The sequence below is a fragment of the Homo sapiens genome, chromosome 5, assembly GCF_000001405.40.
Source record: "Homo sapiens chromosome 5, GRCh38.p14 Primary Assembly".
NCBI lineage: Eukaryota > Metazoa > Chordata > Mammalia > Primates > Hominidae > Homo > Homo sapiens.
This window is the reverse complement of record NC_000005.10, coordinates 3,126,814-3,146,332: the sequence shown is the minus strand read 5'-3', so window position 1 is coordinate 3,146,332 and position 19,519 is coordinate 3,126,814. Positions and strand designations below refer to the sequence as shown.

Here is a 19,519-nt window from a genome sequence, read left to right as displayed (position 1 = left end):
CCATGTTTTTCAGTAAGTAATAATTTCAAAATATGTGGCCAGGCATGGTGGCTCATGCATGTGATCTGAGCATTCTGAGGGGCTGAGGTGAAAGGGTCTCTTGAGGCCAGGAGTTTGAGACCAGCCTGGGCAACAAAATGAGACCCTAACTCTACAGAAAAAAAAAAAAAAAACTCATTTATATCATGAAATACTACTCAACAATAATAAGAATGAACTGTTAATACACACCACAACCTGAAAGAATCAGCAAAGAAGCATACCAAATGAAGAAAACCCAGTCCCAAAGGACATATGCTGTATGATCCTACTCAGAGAACATATGCTGTATGATCCTACTCAGAGAACATCCGAGAAGTGAAATTGATGGTCAAGAGCGACCCTCGGCCAGGCGTGGCAGCTCATGCCTGTAATCTCAGCCCTTTGGGAGGCCTGGTAGAAGGACTGAGGCCAGGAGTTCGGGACCAGGCTGGGTAACACAGTGAGACCCCATCTCTATTTAAAAAAATAAATAAATAAATGTTTTTTATTTTTATTAAAGGAGCAACCCTCAGTCAGTGGGATGGGGCCAGGGCAGCCCCACTGACTCCAGTGGGACTATTTTAAGGTGTGAGCAATCAGGTACTCAGGACACCAGTGGTCCATGGCAGTCAACCAGCTTATTTACACACACTTCATTAGGTTTCCCTTCCCAATCACCGTTCCACTCCTTTACTTCCCCTTCCTGGGACCACCTCCCAAGTAAACTGCCTGTAGTAGAGACCTTGTCTCAGGGAAACCCAAAGTAATCCTTGGGCAAAACAGGAGTTGCATTTTTGGCATCAGGGACAATCTGCACAGGAGTGTGTCAACCACACTAAAAAATGAAGAGGAACAGAGATGAGTACAGGCATTTCTGACTCCAAATCCTTGCCTTCTGGTCATCACAACTTCCATGAACCCAACGCTCAGTGGCCATGAGTCATTTCTTCTTCCATTTCTCTCCTCCCCAACATTTTTCTATAAGCAATAAAGATAAACAGGCTGAGCCTTCAACACTTTGCCTAGAAATCTCCTCAGCTCAGTGTCAAAGGCCATCATTTTCAAAGTCTAATTTCTAGGAAACACTCAAGCAAAATTCAGCCAAAGTCTCTGCCACTTTATGACAAAGATTGCCTTTTTTCCATTTTCCAATAATATGCTGTTTATGTTCATTTGACATCTCATCATAAGAGCCTTTCATGTTCATATTTCTACCCATATTATGTTCATGATGATATTTTTGTTCTCTAAGGTGATGGAAGCTTTCTCTACAGTTCTCTTCTTTTCTTTCTGAGCATTCACCAAAATGGCCTTAAACATCTATATTTCTACCAATGATCTCTTCAAAGTGACCTGAGATCTTTCTAACATGAACCTCAGATCTCTTCCACACGCTAACTAATGCCCAATTCCAAAGCCACTTCCACATTGTTAGACATCTGTGACAACAGCCTTCCACTTCTCAGTACCAAAATTGCATTGGTCAGCTCAGGCTGACATGACAAGGGGCCGCAGCGTCTATTCTGGGCTAAGCACAGGCTTTGCCATCAGCACCGGGGCTCATCCTAGAGCCAGAAAGCAAAGAACCTCCCTGTGGTCAAATGCGCTCAATAACTGTGTGTTTCTTGGGGCCTCGGTTTTACAAATTTTATAAATTATAAATGTATTTTAGAACATTTGAAGGCTAAAATAAAACAAACAAATAGGCATTTTCTGAGAAAATATCAAAACACTATTGGTACTGTAATTTTTCACGTTATCACTGATATCAACTCTGCAACTTCAAATTGTATAAAAAGAACCACCACACCTTACATCCATTAGGATGGCTACTATCAAAAACAAACAAATAAAAACAAAAACAATTGTGTTGGCAAGGATGTGGAACATCTGGAACCCTTGTGCACTGTGGTGAGAACGTAAAATAATGCAGCCACAGAGAAAAACAATACGGTGATTCCCAAAAATTAAAAACAGAATTACGGCTGGGTGCAGTGGCTCATGCCTGTAATCTCAGCACTTTAGGAGGCTGAGGTGAAAGGATCACTTGAGCCCAGGAGTTCGAGACAAGCCAGGTCAACAGTGAGACCCTGTCTCTACACATAATAAAAAATTAGTCTGGGCATGGTGGCTCATGCCTGTAATCCCAGCACTTTGGGAAGCAGAGGAGGCCAGATCAAGTGAGGTCAGGAGTTCGAGAGCAGCCTAGCCAACATGTTGAAGTCCCATCTCTGCTAAAAATACAAAAATTAGCTGGGTGCAGTGGTGGGTGCCTGTAATCCCAGCTACTCGGGAGGCTGAAGCAAGAGAATCGCTTGAGCCCAGGAGGCGGAGGTTGCAGTGAGCTGAGATCGTACCACTGCACTCCAGCCTGGGTGAGTGTGAGACTCTGTCTTAAAGAATAAATAAATAAAATTAGCCAAACATGGTGGCAAATGGCTGTTCCATGTAGGTTCCAGCTACTCAAGAGGCTGAGGTGGGAGGATTGCTTGAGCCTGAGAGATTGAGGCTGCGGTGAGCTGAGTTTGTGCCACTGCACTCCAGCCTGGTCGACAGTGGGAACCTATCTGAAAAAAAAGAGAAACAACACAGAATTCCATATGCCCCAGCGATTTCACTTCTGGGTAAATATCTAAAGAAACTGAAAGCAAGGTCTCAGAGAGATATTCGTACACCCATGCTCGTAGCAGCATGATTCACCATAGCCAAGACGGGGAAGCAGCCCAACTGTTCATGGATGGATGAATGGATAAACCAAAGGAGGCGTCTCCATATGGAACATTACTCAGTCGCAGAAATGAAGACAATTCTGACACACGCTACAACATGTTTGCACCTTGAAGACATGATGCCACGTAAAATAAGCTGGTCACGGAAGGACGCATGTTGTAAGATTCCACCTATTTAAGGTGCCGAAGGTGGTCAAATTCATAGTGACAGAAAACAGAATGGTGGTTTCCAGCGGGTGAAGAGAAACGGAATGGAAAATCATTGTTTATTGGGCAAAGGTTTCAGTTTTGCAAGAAAAAAAAACGTGCAGAGGAACGATGGTGATAGTTGCACAACAATGTAAAATTTAAAATAAATAATAATAAAAGCAAAAGGGTCATTAATAAGAACATTGAGGGGTGGAATTGGTGTTAAAAGTGGCGGAAAATGAACTCGTGGTATATTCAAACAATCCAACTATAATCCCAAACACAAGATGTTTGTAGAGTAAAATGTGCTAAAAATCCATGAAGGTCTTTGTGCGTTATTTATCCACACAAAAAATTCCTTTCATGGCTGTTTTATGTGATAATTTAATGTTGATTTTCCTATTTGTATTTAAAATAAAATGTAAATTAATTAAGTATGAGCATTGACGTGAAATATTCTTTCTCTTTAGGAGTGGAAGGAGCACTTTAAAACCATTAGCAGAAGGTGGTTGAGGCTTTGGTGGCCTGGGTGTGGCCCTGAACGCTTAATGGCTTGTGGTTTGCAAGGTAAACATTCCGGGTGGGGGTCGTGATTAGTCTCAAACCCGGGAAAAGTGGAAATGTAAAATGCCCAGCCACAGGCAGACACTAAAATGAGGCAGCCACAGCCGTCCACCCCAAGGATTTTCAGACCCACGGCTGTGAGTCCGCTCGGCTCTGGGCCACAGTTCTCTGGGTTTTAAGGAGAGAAAGGAGGACTTGGAAGTCAGAGGAGAGCTTTCTCCGTGTTTTCTCATCTGTCAGGCTCGGGCTGGGGCAGTATTGATGGGAGGCGGCCAGGTCCTTTCTAATGTACTGGAAAGTCTTCCGCATGCCTCGCTCGACTTCACGTCTCAGGACCCCGTGGGCCAGGGCCCCGGCCCCGCAGAACAATATGGCCTTCTCAAGGCAATGCCCTGTGGGCTGACCGTTGTCAGGTGATGTTATGTTTTCATGGCAGACACTTCAATGCCGGTTTTGTGCGCAGTTGTATCAGAACAAGAGCACTGAACAAATAGGGGGCCCCTGGAGCCTCCATTCATCAAGCGGCCCTGACACGGCCCCCACCTAGGGCCTACCCAGACGGTCACTGCGTCTCCTTTCCAACTCCTCCCTTTTATTATTTTAAAGTATCTCCTCAAATGCCTTCCTTTCCAAACACGTGAAGTATTCCCCAATGTTCAAAAAGTCATTTTGAGAAATTAGAGTGAAAACAGGAATGACAGAAGAGTTTCAGGGTCCTTGAGACCCTGAGCCACAGTAGCATCTCTAACATGGAGATAATGTGTCATTCCAGGTAAAACAATGCTAACTGCATCGGGGAATATTTACGGCTCACTCAGGAGCTGAGCTTCCACACTGGATAGATTTAGCAGCATTCAGAAAGGCCAGTGCAAAAGAAAAAGGAAGTCTAAAGCCCTAATATTTAGTTGGAGTCTATTGCAGAAAAAGCCCAAAAGGATGGCACTTTAAAGTACGTATGAAGCCTGTGTGGGCACTCGAGGATGAGCAAATGTCGCGCAGGTGGGAGGGATCTCATGCTTACAGCCTGAAGCTGGCTGCTTATGGTTAAAATCTCATGTCAGGGGTTCTCATCCTAGGCCCATGTTGCCTTTCAGGGACCACTGCCATGTCCTTCCAGACATTTTTTATTGCCTACTGCACACCAGTGCTGCTGGCTTCTCATGAGAGAGGACAGCAATGGCACCAAACAGCCTACAACCCAACAGGACAGCCCCAGGACAAAGACAACGCAGCCCCAGTGTCAAGAGCGGCTGAGATGGAGAGATCAGCTCTAAAGGAACAGGGAGAGATTTTAGTTTTTAGCACAAGGAGACTGACTATGATGTCTTTTTCTTTGCATTCAACCACCTATTATAGCAAAGCTTTAAATATTTCCTTTCCGGAAACATGATAACATTCTTAAACAGTTGCAAAGCACTCATTAGAACTTCTGAAAATGTTCTAACAGGCTAGCCAGATTTTAAGTCTTGCAAATGACGTGTCATAAACTTTCTTTTTTTTTTTTTTTTTTTGAGACGGAGTCTCGCTCAGTCGCCAAGGCTGGAGTGCAGTGGTGCGATCTCGGGTCACTGAAAGCTCCGCCTCCCGGGTTCACACCATTCTCCTGCCTCAGCCTCCCGAGTAGCTGGGACTACAGGCGCCCACCACCACGCCTGGGTAATTTTTTTTTTTTTTTGTACTTTTAGTAGAGACGGGGTTTCACCGTGTTAGCCAGGAGGGTCTGGATCTCCTGACCTCGTGATCTGCCCACCTCGGCCTCCCAAAGTGCTGGAATTACAGGCGTGAGCCACCGCACCTGGCCGAGGTATCATAGACTTTCATTCGATAGATTCTAAGCCAGCTCATTCTTATCCCTGGGCTTGAGACAAAGGGCGCTTGCTGTGGAGTCTACACAGGAAAGACAGAAGTGAAGCAATCACGGAAACAGTGAATGAAGTGAAATGCTGCAAAGCGTTTCAGTGAAGGCCATAGGAAGAGGGGATTTCCCCTGGTCTGGGACAACTGATATCCAAACTGAGACCTGAAGAATGAGAAAGCCTCCCTGGGTGAGGTGGGGAAGCGGTGGCCCCTCCAGGGAGGGAGGAGAGCATGTGCAAGGCCCCAAGGCAGGAGGGACCTTGGCCCGGGTGCATCCCAGAGCGAGGCCCCCACAGTAAACCATCAGTTAAGCGGGGAGGGATGGGAGATGGGGCCAGAGAGTTGAGCAAAGGCCGGATCACGCAGCACCGCTTGAAGACCAAGAGAGAATTCTGGATTTTCTCCAAGGGCAGTAGAGACCCATATGAGAGGGTTTTAGGCAAAGGAAAGAAATGCTCAGAGTCCCATTCTGGAATTCCCCTCTGCCCCTGGTCTGGACCTGGAGAAAAAACCTGTCTAGTCCAGTTAGAAACCTGTTCAGTTCAAGCCTGAGAAGATGGTCACTTGGGCCATGGAGAGGGCAGGAGGTGTGAGTCCCACATGCAGACACGTGCGGGCTCCTGAGTCGCTGGGACTGCGAGCTCTCGGAAGTCCATGCTTCTGAAATCGTGAGCTGCATGTGCTCACAGTGTCCCCTCTCAGGCGTCCACCCACAGGTTTCTGGAATAAAAGATATTCCTGCAGTCTACAGAGGACTTGCCAAACTGCATTCAACAGAGTGGTTGTCACCCAGACAGTGTGCATTTTACTTTTTTTTTTTTGAGACTTGGTCTCACTCTTTTGGCCAGGCTGGAGTGCAGTGGCTCAATCACAGCTCACTGCAGCCTCGAACTCCGGGCCTCAAGTGATCCTCCTGCCTCAGCCTCCTGAGTAGCTGGAAGCACAAGTGTGCACCACCATGCCTGGCTAATTTTCTGTTTTGAGTAGAGATGAGGTCTCACTATGTTTTCCAGGCTGATCTCAAAATCCTGACCTCAAGCAATCTTCCTGCCTCAGCCTCCCACAGTTCTGGAATTGCAGGTATGAGTCACTGCGCCTGGCCTACTATTTTAAATGTGGATCTCAGCACACTGACTCAGGCACAGACAGACTCACGCAGAACTGGTTGTCTTGGCTCTGAGAATACCTATCACAGGGTGGGTCTGTGGAAACCACAGCACCTCCCTCTGGTCAACAGAGTCACAGAGAGCAAGCCTGTGACCGTGAGGATGAGGACCTCAATCAACAGGGAGTTGCACAGGCTGGGAATCTGGAGGAAGACCACGGAGCAGGAAGACACAGGAAAACACTTACCCATATGTGGCTTGGAAGCCTGCCCCCACTAGTATCACACTGGAAAAGCTGGCAGCCCACACACATTATCCACTGAAGTTGGCCTTCCGGGTAGACTCCTGGTTTCTGAGGGCGACTTCAACATAAGCCTTCAGCAGAGAAATTCCATCTGGATGTCATAACAGCAGATCTGAGTTATATGAGTCAATAATCAAGGTATGGAAAAATGATGCCCTAAGGATTGAACCTGTTACAAAGATACTATCTACAGACTGCAGTTTAATTAACAGAGATGTGTGTGTGTGTGTGTGTGTGTATATGCAATTTATTCATGTAACAGATAATTATTGAGTACCTACTATGTGTGCATAATGTTTTAGGGACAAAATCATGAGGTTTTGTGGTGAGCAAAATCATAGGATCCTGTCTGCAAGGAGCTAACAGCCAAACAGGATGACAGAAAAGACTTAGAAATGAACTCAGTATGTTCGGTCAGAAAGCTCTTTGATGTTAGTTTCAAACAAAATATGGGTCTACACAGGAAAGCTTCTAAAACCTGATGTTGCTCCAAGTTCTGGAAGGATTTGCCCTGGCCTGTTACAATGAAGTCCGTGGAGGAAGAGGGTGGTGTGGTCCAGGGTTCATCCTGCTTCCTTGCAAGCTTGGGTGGGAGGAGGCAGCGCCTTCTCCATCCTTCTAGATATACCTGATGGAGGATGCTTGAGCTGTCTCGATGCACTGCTCCTTCGAGTGTGTGGATCACCACAAACACCTAAAGATCCTTCAGGGCCTTGAGCTCTTAGCCGGTGTGAGATGAATAGACAGAGCTGACTTAAGTGATGTGTGGATTGGGGAACGTGGTTGGTTTAGGGATCAATCAAGGTTAAGTAGGACTGGAGCCAGGGAGGGATTGAACTGGTGCTGGGTGTCAATGTCAGAAAAGCAGCTTTGAAACAGAAGCCTAAGCCCAAGGATGAAGGGGCCTTGCTTCTCTTGGCCTACAGCGTAGGGAGGACTTGAACAGAGGCAGTACCTGTGGGAACCGCAAAGAGCTGTTTTGCTGCACTGAATTCAATAACTCCACTTCCCAGAGCCTCACATCCGCCTCTGTGGGGGCTGCTGCCCTCCCCACCGAGTGCCCCACGGCTGCCGGCCTTAGCCTCATAACAGGTCCCCCTCCTAGGACTCATCTCCTTACGAGCTGGTTTTCTGCATCTGAGGAGGGAGATACATTTTTCTGACATCTGTGGGGTCCCTTCAATGTAGGTCTTTGCAGGCTTGGCAGAAGATAGTCTCATCATAGTTCACTTTCTGCAATTCTTTTCTTCCTTGGGGCTGGGGCTGGGGCTTGTCTGGTTTTGGGGCAGCCAGTGCAGAAAATGCTAAATGTCATTTGTGTAACTGCCCAGACCTCATTGACAGGCTCCTCAATTCTAAATAAAGCTTTCCCTTACACGGGTTTCAATTATGCTCAGTTTTGGAGGGTTTTGGAAGTCTTTTCTAAAACTACTTTCAGCAAGCCTTGAAAGTCAATGATATATTGAGATTCCTAAAAAGTCAACATCATTGAGACATAATTTGCATATAACAAAGCAAAATGTTATACGCAAATTATGTTAACAAAAATTGTTAAGAACACAGCTTGGGCAAATTTATACACTGCAGTAATCACCACCGCAACTAAAATATAGAACATTCCCATCCCCTAAAAAGTTCTTTGTGCCCCATTTCAGCCACGCCCTGCCCTCACCCCAGTAACCACTGACCAGATTTCTGCTGCATTAAATAGACTTTAAAAACACAAATATAAATGCATTATTAAAAGTCTCATGGCTATAGCTTGTAGGCTCTGTTCTGTACCTTTTTTTAACACAATGTAAGTTGCATTTTAGAAGTTTGGTTGCAATTGCATTTGTTTGTTTGTTTGTTTATTCATTCAGACAGAGTCTTGCTGTGTCATCCAGGCTTGAGAGCACTGGTGTGATCACAGCTCCCTGCAGCCTCGAACTCCCGGGATCCAGTGATTCTCCCACCTCATCCTCCAGAATAGCTGGGACTACAGGCATGCAATACTATGCCCAGCTAATTTAATTTTTTTTTTTTATAGAGAAAGATTCTGTGTTGCCCAGGCTGGTTTCAAACTCCTGGGTTCAAGTGATCTTCCTGCCTCTGCCTTGGATTACAGGCATGAGCCATGGTGCCCGGCCCAACTAATGACAGTTGGAACTAGCACCGCTTACTGGATGCTCACAGGGCACATGGTGTCCCCAGCTTGCCACCTTGTTGTCATTATTGTCATACACCCCATAACACCCACCATATATGCCACAATGTTCCCGTAAGATTAGAGAAGAGCTGAAAAACTTCTATCACCTAGTGATGTGGCCATCGTAAGGTTGTAACGCAGTCACTTTATTTCTTTTTATAAATGCAGTGTAGCCTAAGTGTCCAGTGTAATGTACAGGAATGTCCTGGACCTTCACCTTCACTCCATACTCATTGACTCACTCAGAGCAAGTTCTAGTCCTGAAAGCTCCATTCATGGCAAGTGCCCTATACAGGGGCACCATTTTTTAATCTTTGTCTATTTTTACCAAAGCTTTTCTATGTTTAGACCTATTTATTTTTATTTTTATTATTTTGAGACGGAGTTTCACTCTTGTTGCCCAGGCTGGAGTGCAATGGCGCGATCTCGGCTCACTGCAACCTCCGCCTCCCGGGTTCAAGCGATTATCCCACCTCAGTCTCCTGAGTAGCTGAGATTATGAAATTACAGGCACCCGCCACCACTCCGAGCTAATTTTTTTTTTTTTTTTTTTTTTTTTTAGTAGAGATGGGGTTTCACCATGTTAGTCAGGCTGGTCTTGAACTCCTGACCTTAGGTGATCCACCCGCCTTGGCCTCCCAAAGTGCTGGGATTACAGGGGTGAGCCACCGTGCCCGGCCCTGTTTAGTCCTATTTAGAGACACAAATACTTGCCTTTGTGTTACAGTTGCCTGCAGTATTGAGCACAGTCTCATCCTGTACAGGTTTGTAGCCCAGGAGCAATAGGCTATGCCACATAGCCTAGGTTTGGCGTAGGCTGTACTGTCTAGGTTTGTGTAACCACACTCTACAATGTTCGAACAATGACGAACTCACTGAACCACACATTTCTTGGAACCTATACCTATGTTTAAGTGACATGTGACTGTACTAGTATCCTGGAATGCATCGACGATTAGTTTAACTGAGCACTAGCTAACTCAGTGAGGCCAGTATGGTGGCCCTGCAGGTTATTAATATCCTGATGGGATGCACTTTGTAATCTTAAAAATTAACTTTTTTCTAAAAGTTACACAAATACTTTTTAAAAATACCTCAAGAAAAGTAAATAGAAGGTTAATGTCTGATGAGCCAATGCCATATTTTGACTAAAAGGCCAATAAGAAAAGCTAAAATATATTTAAAAAATTAGACTTGAGAAAAAATTGATCATCTCATAGTAGATCCTGTTGGTAATTTTTTATATTATTTCTGAAGTCGTCCATGTATAATAGACATGTAATTTTGCTTTGAAGTGCCATCTTCTTTGCATATCATTGGATAAGTTGATGGTTTATGTAAATATATCACCAACTTATCCAATGACATGCAAAGAAGATGGCCCTTAGAGGCAACATTATATGTCTACTATACATAACAGACATAATGTGTATTATACATAATACAGAAGATATGTATGATACGTACACAATTAGCAGCATAATTGAAGGGAAATACCATCATAGCAAAATGGTGAGGCCGAGGCACCGGTCCCACTTGAGTTGCCTGTGATCACACTCTCACAAGCTCACCTCCCGTGGGTCAGAGGAGCCATGAAAGCAGGTTCCCAACATGCAAACACACAACTGTGGTCCATTCTGGACCAACAGCCAGCAGGGAAGTCCCTGTGATCAGCCATTATTGGGTTTCTCAAGCAAGCTTGGCTGTGTAGAGGCATGATGGTACCATTAATGTCAACTGGTCTTTCAGCTCCCTTCTTGTACCATGAGGTGAAAGTTAGATGTAAGGAAACAGTCTTGTTTTAATTAAACTAAAGTGTGTACAGGCTAGAATTATTTAATGTAATTAAGAAAGTGCGAACATATAAGAAGTACTAAATAGTAGCCTAATGGCATGTATTGTAGTTCCCATTATATCTGCTTATGAGTGACTCAAAATAACCAAAAGGACTTTTTAAAGTGGCTACATAGCCATGATGGCAAAAAACTTAAGAAAAGTTGACAAGAACACAAAGCACAATCTTGGTAACCCGAAAATGTCAATTAAATGGAGATTTGGAAACTTAAGAGGCCGACTGTAAATTAAACCAACAGTAAAGGGACCAGCCATGCACTTAAGAGACTCTGGCCTTACCATTCAAAGAACCTGCACCCAGCAAGGATGCCCATTCTAAGAGGCCTATCCTTATTTTGAAAATACACCCTTCTCAGTTTTTAGCAGAAAAGGCAAGAAACATGGATGTATTTTGATTTCTGCGTAAAGAGGCCACAAATACCCAAAACTCAGGCTGTGCTGCCGACAAAACATTTTCTACTGCTATTTTTTGCACATGGAGGTGACTCACTTCCAAAAAGGATTCCTGAAACACGGCCCCAGGAGGTCACATATCTGAAGGCACTTTACAAGTCTCGGAAAAGAGTCCCCTCCTATCTCACCCTCAAACCATCGTCCCTGTTAACTTATTTCCCTTGAAAATCCACCCCAGGAGAGAACTGCACCCCCCGTAAACATGCACTTATGCATCTGTCTTCTGTTGTTCAGTTGGTGTTTGCTTGGTTATTAATACAGGTCATGGTCTTCTCTTCCACACAGAACCTTCCTTCTAAATCGTCACACAACATTGCACTGGACTTGGTTTTATGTCTGTCCTGGCCTTCTTAACCAGGACAAGAGCAAGACCACACGGCACCCTCCTGTGTGCTCTAGGCCTAAAAACCAGTGTGAGCCCAGAAAATGTGCACAGACAGGCAGAAGGAGTGAATGAATGACCTTTGTATCCTCCCCTGAGAACAAGATTTTAGAGACATTTAAGAAAGGCAGGACATTTCCAGCCTCTGGTCCAGCAGGAAAAGATGTTGGACATCCTCACTCCCATGCACTCAGATAAAAACCTATACAAACTAGAAATCAGCAACTCCTGGGTCCCTCAGAGAAGTGAGGTCACAGGCAAATTGCTGCTTTCAAAAGTGGAGAGACAGACAGGCAGACACACAGCGTCACAGCCTGTGGGAGCACGAACCCATGAGCAGAAGTGGAGACTGGAACCAGCGCAGGGTAGGAAGACTTAATCCTCCTTGATAAGCTGCCAGAGATTCAATGTGGACAAGCCTTAGAGATCAGTCTCAGGGGGGCTTATTCCTAGGGGTCCCCAAACTCATGAGAGAAAAATAAGATTAGAGAAAAACCCCTGGGACTCCCAGCAGGGGGAGGGAAAAAGGAACCATCTTAAAATATGCCCAAAATACTCTGTCATGAAAAGGCCAGACCTCAAACAAAACTATTTTATCAGCGCCTAGCCCGCTGGGATTTTATCAGAGCCTAACCACCACCCCCACCCCCACCCCAGGGGAAGGGGGCCATTCTATCTCACCCAAGGGGAAAAACAAAACAAAACAGAGAAGTGTTTGGGAGAGCCAAGAGCCCAGGGCCAGGCTTGCTGCAGAGGGCAGAAGGGGAGTCAAGCCGGTTGTGAAGGATGCTTTGATGACGAGAAGCACAGGAGCGGGATGCAGAGGACCCTGAATGTGAGCTTCCCTTCCACAGAGCTGTGTGTGCTGTGATGTTCCCCAACCCTCTTGTGAACAAGCTCGTGCCGCCGGTGCTGCCTTTTTCTGACCCAGTGCCTCTGCTGACATAAGAGGGAAGAGGACACCATCCAACAAGAAGGCAGCACAAACCCCTCCTGGCCAACCGTGGGAGCTATTGCTCGCTGCACCCCAGGCCAGCCAAGCTGCCACGCGGCCTTCCCACTAGGCCTACGGGAACTGCCCCAAAGTCAACACACAGAGAACAGAGCTTCCATCACTCCACAGTCAGCCCAAATGTAAGCTAGACTCTGCCACTCATCAAACAATAGGAAACCCAGTTTTGTCTCATGATTACCGACTTCCATGGGCTTAAGAATCATCCGAAATCTTGTGACATGAGAGCCAAGAAAACCTCAACGGAGGGAACTGGAGACTTGTGCAGAGTACACCGCACCTTGAGTTTCTTTCTCAGGGCTGCTTTTGATATCCCGTTGGATGAGGGGACGTGTTCGGCGTTGGGAGTAGGCTGCTAGCAGAATGATTCAGTATGTGACGGTTTAACAGTAACAACACCCAATGTCCAGTAATAACATCGGGATCTCCAAGCATCTGACAGCTGAGTCACAGAAATTTTAATATTTCCTTCACACTAACATCTTCTGCTTGCAAGGGTTGCCATAGGATGGGGGCTCTCACATCCAATATGCAATCGAAAAGCGCAGAAGCTTCCTGTTTTTATACAATGTGATTCACTGAGCATTCCAAGTTCATTGCTGGCCAGATTACAACCAGCAACGGTGCCATCAGGATGAGGCACAGGTGCACTTGGGACTCTCAGGTCACTCTACAGTCAGCCCAGATGCAAACTGTTTACCTGCCCCAGGTTACGACTCCCCTGTAAACCCTGCACCTTCTCAGTTGACCTCTGAGCACCACCAGGTAAGCCTGGACCTGGGATTCCAGCTTCATTGAGATGGAGAACAGTTTCGAAAAACTTCTCAGAATGGAGTTATGAGTGATATGGGGGTTAGGAAATAGGAAAAGTTATTCTGACGATGCCTTGCAGGTTGGCTGAATGAGAGAGTAAAGGGAAACTGAGGCCATTATGGATGAAAGTTGTTTTCCATTGCACCTTTGTCAGGGCAAAAATGAGACTTTGCATCTTTGCAATGTCATGCTGCTCCCAGAACACCTTCTTGCCCTTTGGAGAACCTCCGTGAATATTCATTCTGTTGAAGAGAAACCGCCTGGAGAGAAGGTCCCACCTGGTAAAAGCCACAGGCACTCTGGAGCGTGCACACCACCTGCAGGTCACTGTCACTGCCTCCACGTCCAAAAAGGTAATTTAATGCAACCTTTTAACCGACCTCTCTACTTTGGGACTGAGGTCTTTCTCAGTGAGGTGAGGTGATCTTGGTGTAACAGCTAGAAAGAATTGGCCTCCTTTGGTCAGCCATGCAGACAACGCATCAGATACAGAACCTATCGCAGTGCCAGGAGTCATGGAAGCAAATCCAAGCTCATTGGTCTGACTCTGCCGGGTTTGAGGGCCCAGGACCACAGCCTCTCTGCTGCTGTTGACTTTGATGGGGGCCACAGCGAATTGCAGCATCTGTATTGGGTCTGATTAAATGCATCCACAGCACCTAACATCTTGGTTCTGGAATCCCAATTTCCGGGCCAGTTGCTAAACCTAACAGTGCAACGGTTTCAGTGCCTAACAGGTAAGCAGGCCACGGTGGCTTTTCAGTCCTTGCTGTCTGCAACACCAGCTGTGCAGCACAGCAAGCCAGAGGCCAGGCTGGATCCTTCCCCATGGGCTCCAGGGCATTGGAACTCCTTGGAACCAGAGACTTATAACACGCATGTGTGTGAACAGATTCTTAGGGGAGAAAGCCCTCACTTTCCTCGAAATTCAAAGTTGTCCACACCCCCAAAAAGTGCAGCCTGGCTCTGGGCTTCTCTGCCCTGCAGCCAAGGTTTGTTGTCTGTTTGTTTTTGTGTAGATCTGATAATGACACTCCCTCCCGTTGACTGAAAGACTTCCCAGACCCTTGGTTTTCCCCCAGTACACCTACCAGCCTTGCATCTGCCACTCCCCAAACGCTCCCACTGCCCGAGAACAGCTGGCGTTTTTGTGTCTGCTCCATTGCACAGTCTCTTTTCTTTGCCTGAATTGTCTCCGCTGGCTGGCCAGTATGGCAAGTCCTGCTCTCAACCAATGGCTCACCTAACAGGGAAGCTCACTGTGAGTCTTCCCATCTTCTTCAGGGCTTGCATACTCTCTAATTGCCAATTTTATTTTACCATCAATTATATGGCTATAATGTCTTGATTACACTCAGTGTTAGTCTGGGTGCTCCAGAGAAGCACATAGATACACTCTCTCTACACACACACACACATACACACACACACGCATGCACACACATGGACATAGAGCTGGGAATTGGCTCACAAATTACAGACCCGAAAGGGCTGTCATCACGCTGGAAGCTCGGTAAGAGCTGACGCTGCAGTATCAAGTCTCAACTCCACCCGCTGGCAGGCAGGGGAGCCAGGCGGGCTTCCTGTGCTGCAGTCTTGACGTGGAATTTCTTCTTCTCAAGGAAACCTCAGTCTTCCCTCTTAAGACCTTCAACTGGTTGGATGAGACCCACCTACATGATGGAGACAATCTGCTTTACCTCCAGTCAATTGAGGTAAATGAGAATCACATCTACAAAGACCTTCCATAGCAACCTCCAGTCTGGTGTTTGACCAAGCAACTGAGAACCACAGCCAAGCCAAGTCGACATACAAAACTAGACATCACACTCTCCTTCCCCATGAAGACCAAGAGCACCACAATGCCCTGAGTAGGCACTGAGCACTGTGCCTCCGTAACATGTAACATACTTTCCAGCGCACAATCAATGTCTGTTATGTGAATTATTGAAAGTGACAGATTCAGGCACTGACTAACTCCATCACTAATATTTTAAAAGTACAAACAAGAGTTTTCCCAGTTTGTTAGCATGTGTGTGTGTGTGTGCATGTGTGTACCTAATTTATCAGTTTCCTAAAGCCCTTTTGAAACTTCTGTGCATTGGGACCTTATACTCCACAATGGCCAACGACAAATGCTTCCAAGTCCCCTTCCTCTAAGTCTCTGAAGTCACGAAGCTGTGCACAATGTCACTATTTAGAGAGCGACAAAGTGCAACTAAAAGCAATTAAGTGATTTGGGGAAAACTGTAGAGTGTATCAACAGCAAATATGAGGGCAGTGACCACGGGCCCCCAAAGCAGCTGTCAGCAAACCAGGCTGCTCTTTGGCCGTGATTTAAAGCCCCTGTTTAGACTGCTATCCACATCCATCTCAGGAAATAAATGGCCACAGTGCAGACTCCAATATCTAATCCAGATGGAAGTGTTCATCCTCCTTCAGAAAGTTTAAATCACCTCACAACGTGAGGTTTAACGTTCTTATCAACGTCAGGAAATATCTCCAACAAGGCTGTACGATGGATGAATGTGGAAGACTGTAACCAAAAACAAACAAACATATGAACAAATAAAACCAATTATGTCTATCAATATACCATAATAACCAACACACATAGTTATACAAAGAGACTTTGCTTGGCCCCTCAAAAATCAAAATGTCTCGTAATTATTTTATGTTGGCGTTTTGTGTCTCATATCATCCACACAAGCTAGTTCAATTCGTAGTTTTGATACCTCACTTTGTGAGGATAACAGCAACAAAATCTCTCATTCTGACGCGTATTTTTGAACGGAAGTATCTGGCCAGGTGCAGTGGTTCACACGCCTGTAATCCCAGCACTTTGGCAGGTCAACGCAGAAGGATCACTTGAGCTCAGGAGTTTGAGACCAGCCTGGGCAACATGGCAAAACCCCGACTCTATAAAAAAATACAAAAATTTATCTGGGCATGCTGGTGTGCACCTGTAGTCTGAGCAACTCAGGAGGCTGAGGTGAGATAATTGCTTGAGCCTGGGAGGCCGAGGTTTCAGTGATCTGAGATTGCACCACTGGACTCCAGCCTGGGTGACAGAGTGAGACCCTGTCTCAGAAAAAAAAAAAAAAAAAAGACAGAAAGAAGGAAAGAATGTATCGAGTTCTAATTCAAGGGCTAATCTTTTGAATTATAATTTATTTTAAATAGATATAATTTTTAAAATAAGTTTTTGTTGCTTCTATATTAACTTATTACCAAATTTCATAAAGGTGTATCAATGGCTGATTTGCTCTTATTCCTTAATTTATGAGACATCGGTCTAAATAAGTATTTGCGAAAAAGATAAAGGCAGCACAAGAATAGTTATGCATAGAACTGTTTGAAACACTGAGTCATGTGACTGGCACCTGCATTCTTGAGCATGTCACCAAGACCATTCTTCAAGGCACCATAGAAACTTCTCTTCTGCCTCTCCGTCTCCACCAACGCATTTTCTGCCATGTCAGGTTTTCACTTCTTTACTCCTCCAGAATAACTTACTCAACACAGTGCAGCTGCTCATGTAAGAATAAGAAAGCCCAATGGGAATATCTTAGAAAAGGAAGATGCATATGGGTGTTCCCTCCATCTTCTTGGCACCCACTGGGTGTCCAAAGGAAGGTTGGCAGGTGTCCCTTTTTTTTTTTTTTTTTTTTTTTTTTTGAGACGGAGTCTTGCTCTGTCGCCCAGGCTGGAGTGCAGTGGCGCGATCTCCGCTCACTGCAAGCTCCGCCTCCCGGGTTCACGCCATTCTCCTGCCTCAGCCTCCCGAGTAGCTGGGATTACAGGCGCCCACCACTACGCCCGGCTAATTTTTTGTATTTTTAGTAGAGACGGGGTTTCACCGTGTTAGCCAGGATAGTCTCGATCTCCTGCCCTTGTGATCTGCCCGCCTCGGCCTCCCAAAGTCCTGGGATTACAGGCGTGAGCCACCGCGCCCGGCCGGCAGGTGTCCTTTTAAACAGAAATTGTCTCTTCCACAGCTGAGGTTTTACTCAATGGCTTTCTGTCACACCTGTCGACAAGGTCCATCCTCCCTCCTAGGGGCAGCCCCCATGCACATGAGGGGCCTCCATCACGGGCACAGTTCACATGGTTTCCCACCAACTCGGGCTGCCTCCCCTCATCCCTTCACTCTGCCTGATAAATACAGTCTCCTGAATGAGTGTGTGTTCTACCTACCTACAATTTGTTCTCCGAAACTACCATTTTTAAATTTGTGTCTATTTCAATAGAACTATTTCTAAAGGTTTTGCCATACATACTGTCTTTGTCTGTAGCATAAGCTAAGGGTGATTTGTCACTTTCCCAGGGACCTGGGTGTGGCTGAGACACTGTCTCCTGGATTTTGCCCTGCAGAGTTGACACCTGAATTAAAGGAGCACCATTTATTTGTTTCACTGGTGTCCTTTGTCCGCGTTCCTCTGTCTTACGTTGCTTCTCTGAATCACGCATCCTTTCATTGCGTCCTCTTCTTCTGCTATTTTTAGTCTGTTCTTGCTCTACATGTAGATAATCCAGAGTTTCCGAAATAAACAGGACACCAACTTGCCAAATCACTGGCCTTGCTCTTGTAGTGGTAGATCTATGGAAAACGACTGAACGTCCCCACCAAAAGTGCCCTCGGTGGTGCTGGGAGCTCTCTCCCCGCGGCTCAGAAGCCAAACTGCTCGTGGTGCATGGGTGGTCGTGACACCCAGCGGGCTGATTTGTTGATAAGCGGCACCCTCTGTCCATTGTGACGCTTCAACATTTCATAAACAAAAAAGTCACGTGAAGAATCAGGACACGTTTTTCTTCAAACTCAGGAGCAGGAGGTGCTTTATTAGCAAAACATCAGGGAGAAAGTCTCAGTGATTGTTGCCCCATCTGCTACCAGTGGCTGGGTCCTTGTTGCTGAGTGGCAGGAACTATTTTTACCCCTTGGTCACAGGCCTTCCTTCTATAGAATGGCACTCAAAAAACGGAGAAGCACAATATGGGATGCGGCTCTGCCCCTTTTCTTACCAAGACACGCTTGCTGTCTTGCGTTCAGACTGCCTGGACCTTGGGAGCCACATTTAAGAAAGTCCTTGAGTCAAAAGGGCAAGGAGTCCTCCCTGGGGGCTCTTGCCTGATAAATCCAGGGTTGCAGCCCCTTTCCGGCTCCGCTCCAAATTCAGCACCAGATCCAGCTCTCAGAGCCACCAAGTCTGGGGCCAGGCTGGTTGTGTGTCTTGCAAGTCAGCAAGAAGGTAAGGTTCATGCTGAGCTGATGGAATCAGTCTCTCCCAGCCCTGCAGGGCATACGCCCTGCGCCACCCAGCACTGCAGAGAGGGCAGGCAGGGTGATCCCTGCACTGTTGACATTCGCAGAACCCAACTCCAGTCCCTGTTGTTCTGAAAGTTTTCTATTTGAGAGTCTTAATGCATATTTACACATATGTTTAAAATATTAATATTTAAAATGTAATTAAAAGATTTAAACCCATTTTAATACCTAAGGGAGACAAACACGATGCCTGTCTGAGGCATTCACATCCTTAGGAGAATTGTTAGTCGGCATAATTCATTAATATTGAGGAGTAATCCTGATGTGCCTCATTTGGTTCTGGGAAGATCAAATGGGGTGATCTGAGAAGTGCCAGGAGGCGGTGGTGGCACAGTGCACCGCTAGTGCGTTCAGCCCTAGAGCTGGGGACAGCGGCAGGAAAGCCTGTGACAGCAGGACCTGGCTGAGAAACCCCCGGAGATGAGGCCTGAAGTCTGATGGCAGCAGAAGCAGCAGGGGCTGGTTGAGGGTGGAGTCTCACCTTCTCTTTGTCCCAAGGCAAGGTCTCCTCCAGGACACCATTTATCAACTTCAGCCCTACTGACATCTGGGGTCAGGAAACTTTTTTGTTGGGGGCTGCCCTGTGCTTTGTTGGGCACTTAACAGCACCCCTGGCCTCTCCCCACTAGCTGGCACGCTTCCCTCCCCGGGTGTTAGGACCGACACTGTGTCCGGGCATTGTCAAATGTCACAGGCGGCAGAGTCATTCCCAGCTGAAGGC

At 46.2% G+C, this 19,519-nt stretch overlaps 3 annotated features.

Annotated features, from left to right (window-relative positions):
- Positions 12,126 to 12,626: an enhancer, noted in NCBI's record as "H3K4me1 hESC enhancer chr5:3133821-3134321 (GRCh37/hg19 assembly coordinates)". NCBI's record gives its function as "activates a minimal SCP1, AML or CMV promoter by ChIP-STARR-seq in naive H9 embryonic stem cells {active_cell/tissue: H9 hESC(naive)}" and the evidence as "EXISTENCE:reporter gene assay evidence [ECO:0000049][PMID:30033119]".
- Positions 12,627 to 13,127: an enhancer, noted in NCBI's record as "H3K4me1 hESC enhancer chr5:3133320-3133820 (GRCh37/hg19 assembly coordinates)". NCBI's record gives its function as "activates a minimal SCP1, AML or CMV promoter by ChIP-STARR-seq in naive H9 embryonic stem cells {active_cell/tissue: H9 hESC(naive)}" and the evidence as "EXISTENCE:reporter gene assay evidence [ECO:0000049][PMID:30033119]".
- Positions 19,097 to 19,294: a silencer, noted in NCBI's record as "fragment chr5:3127153-3127350 (GRCh37/hg19 assembly coordinates)". NCBI's record gives its function as "represses an EF-1alpha promoter that drives an FKBP-Casp9 reporter gene in an ReSE screen in K562 erythroleukemia cells {active_cell/tissue: K562}" and the evidence as "EXISTENCE:reporter gene assay evidence [ECO:0000049][PMID:32094911]".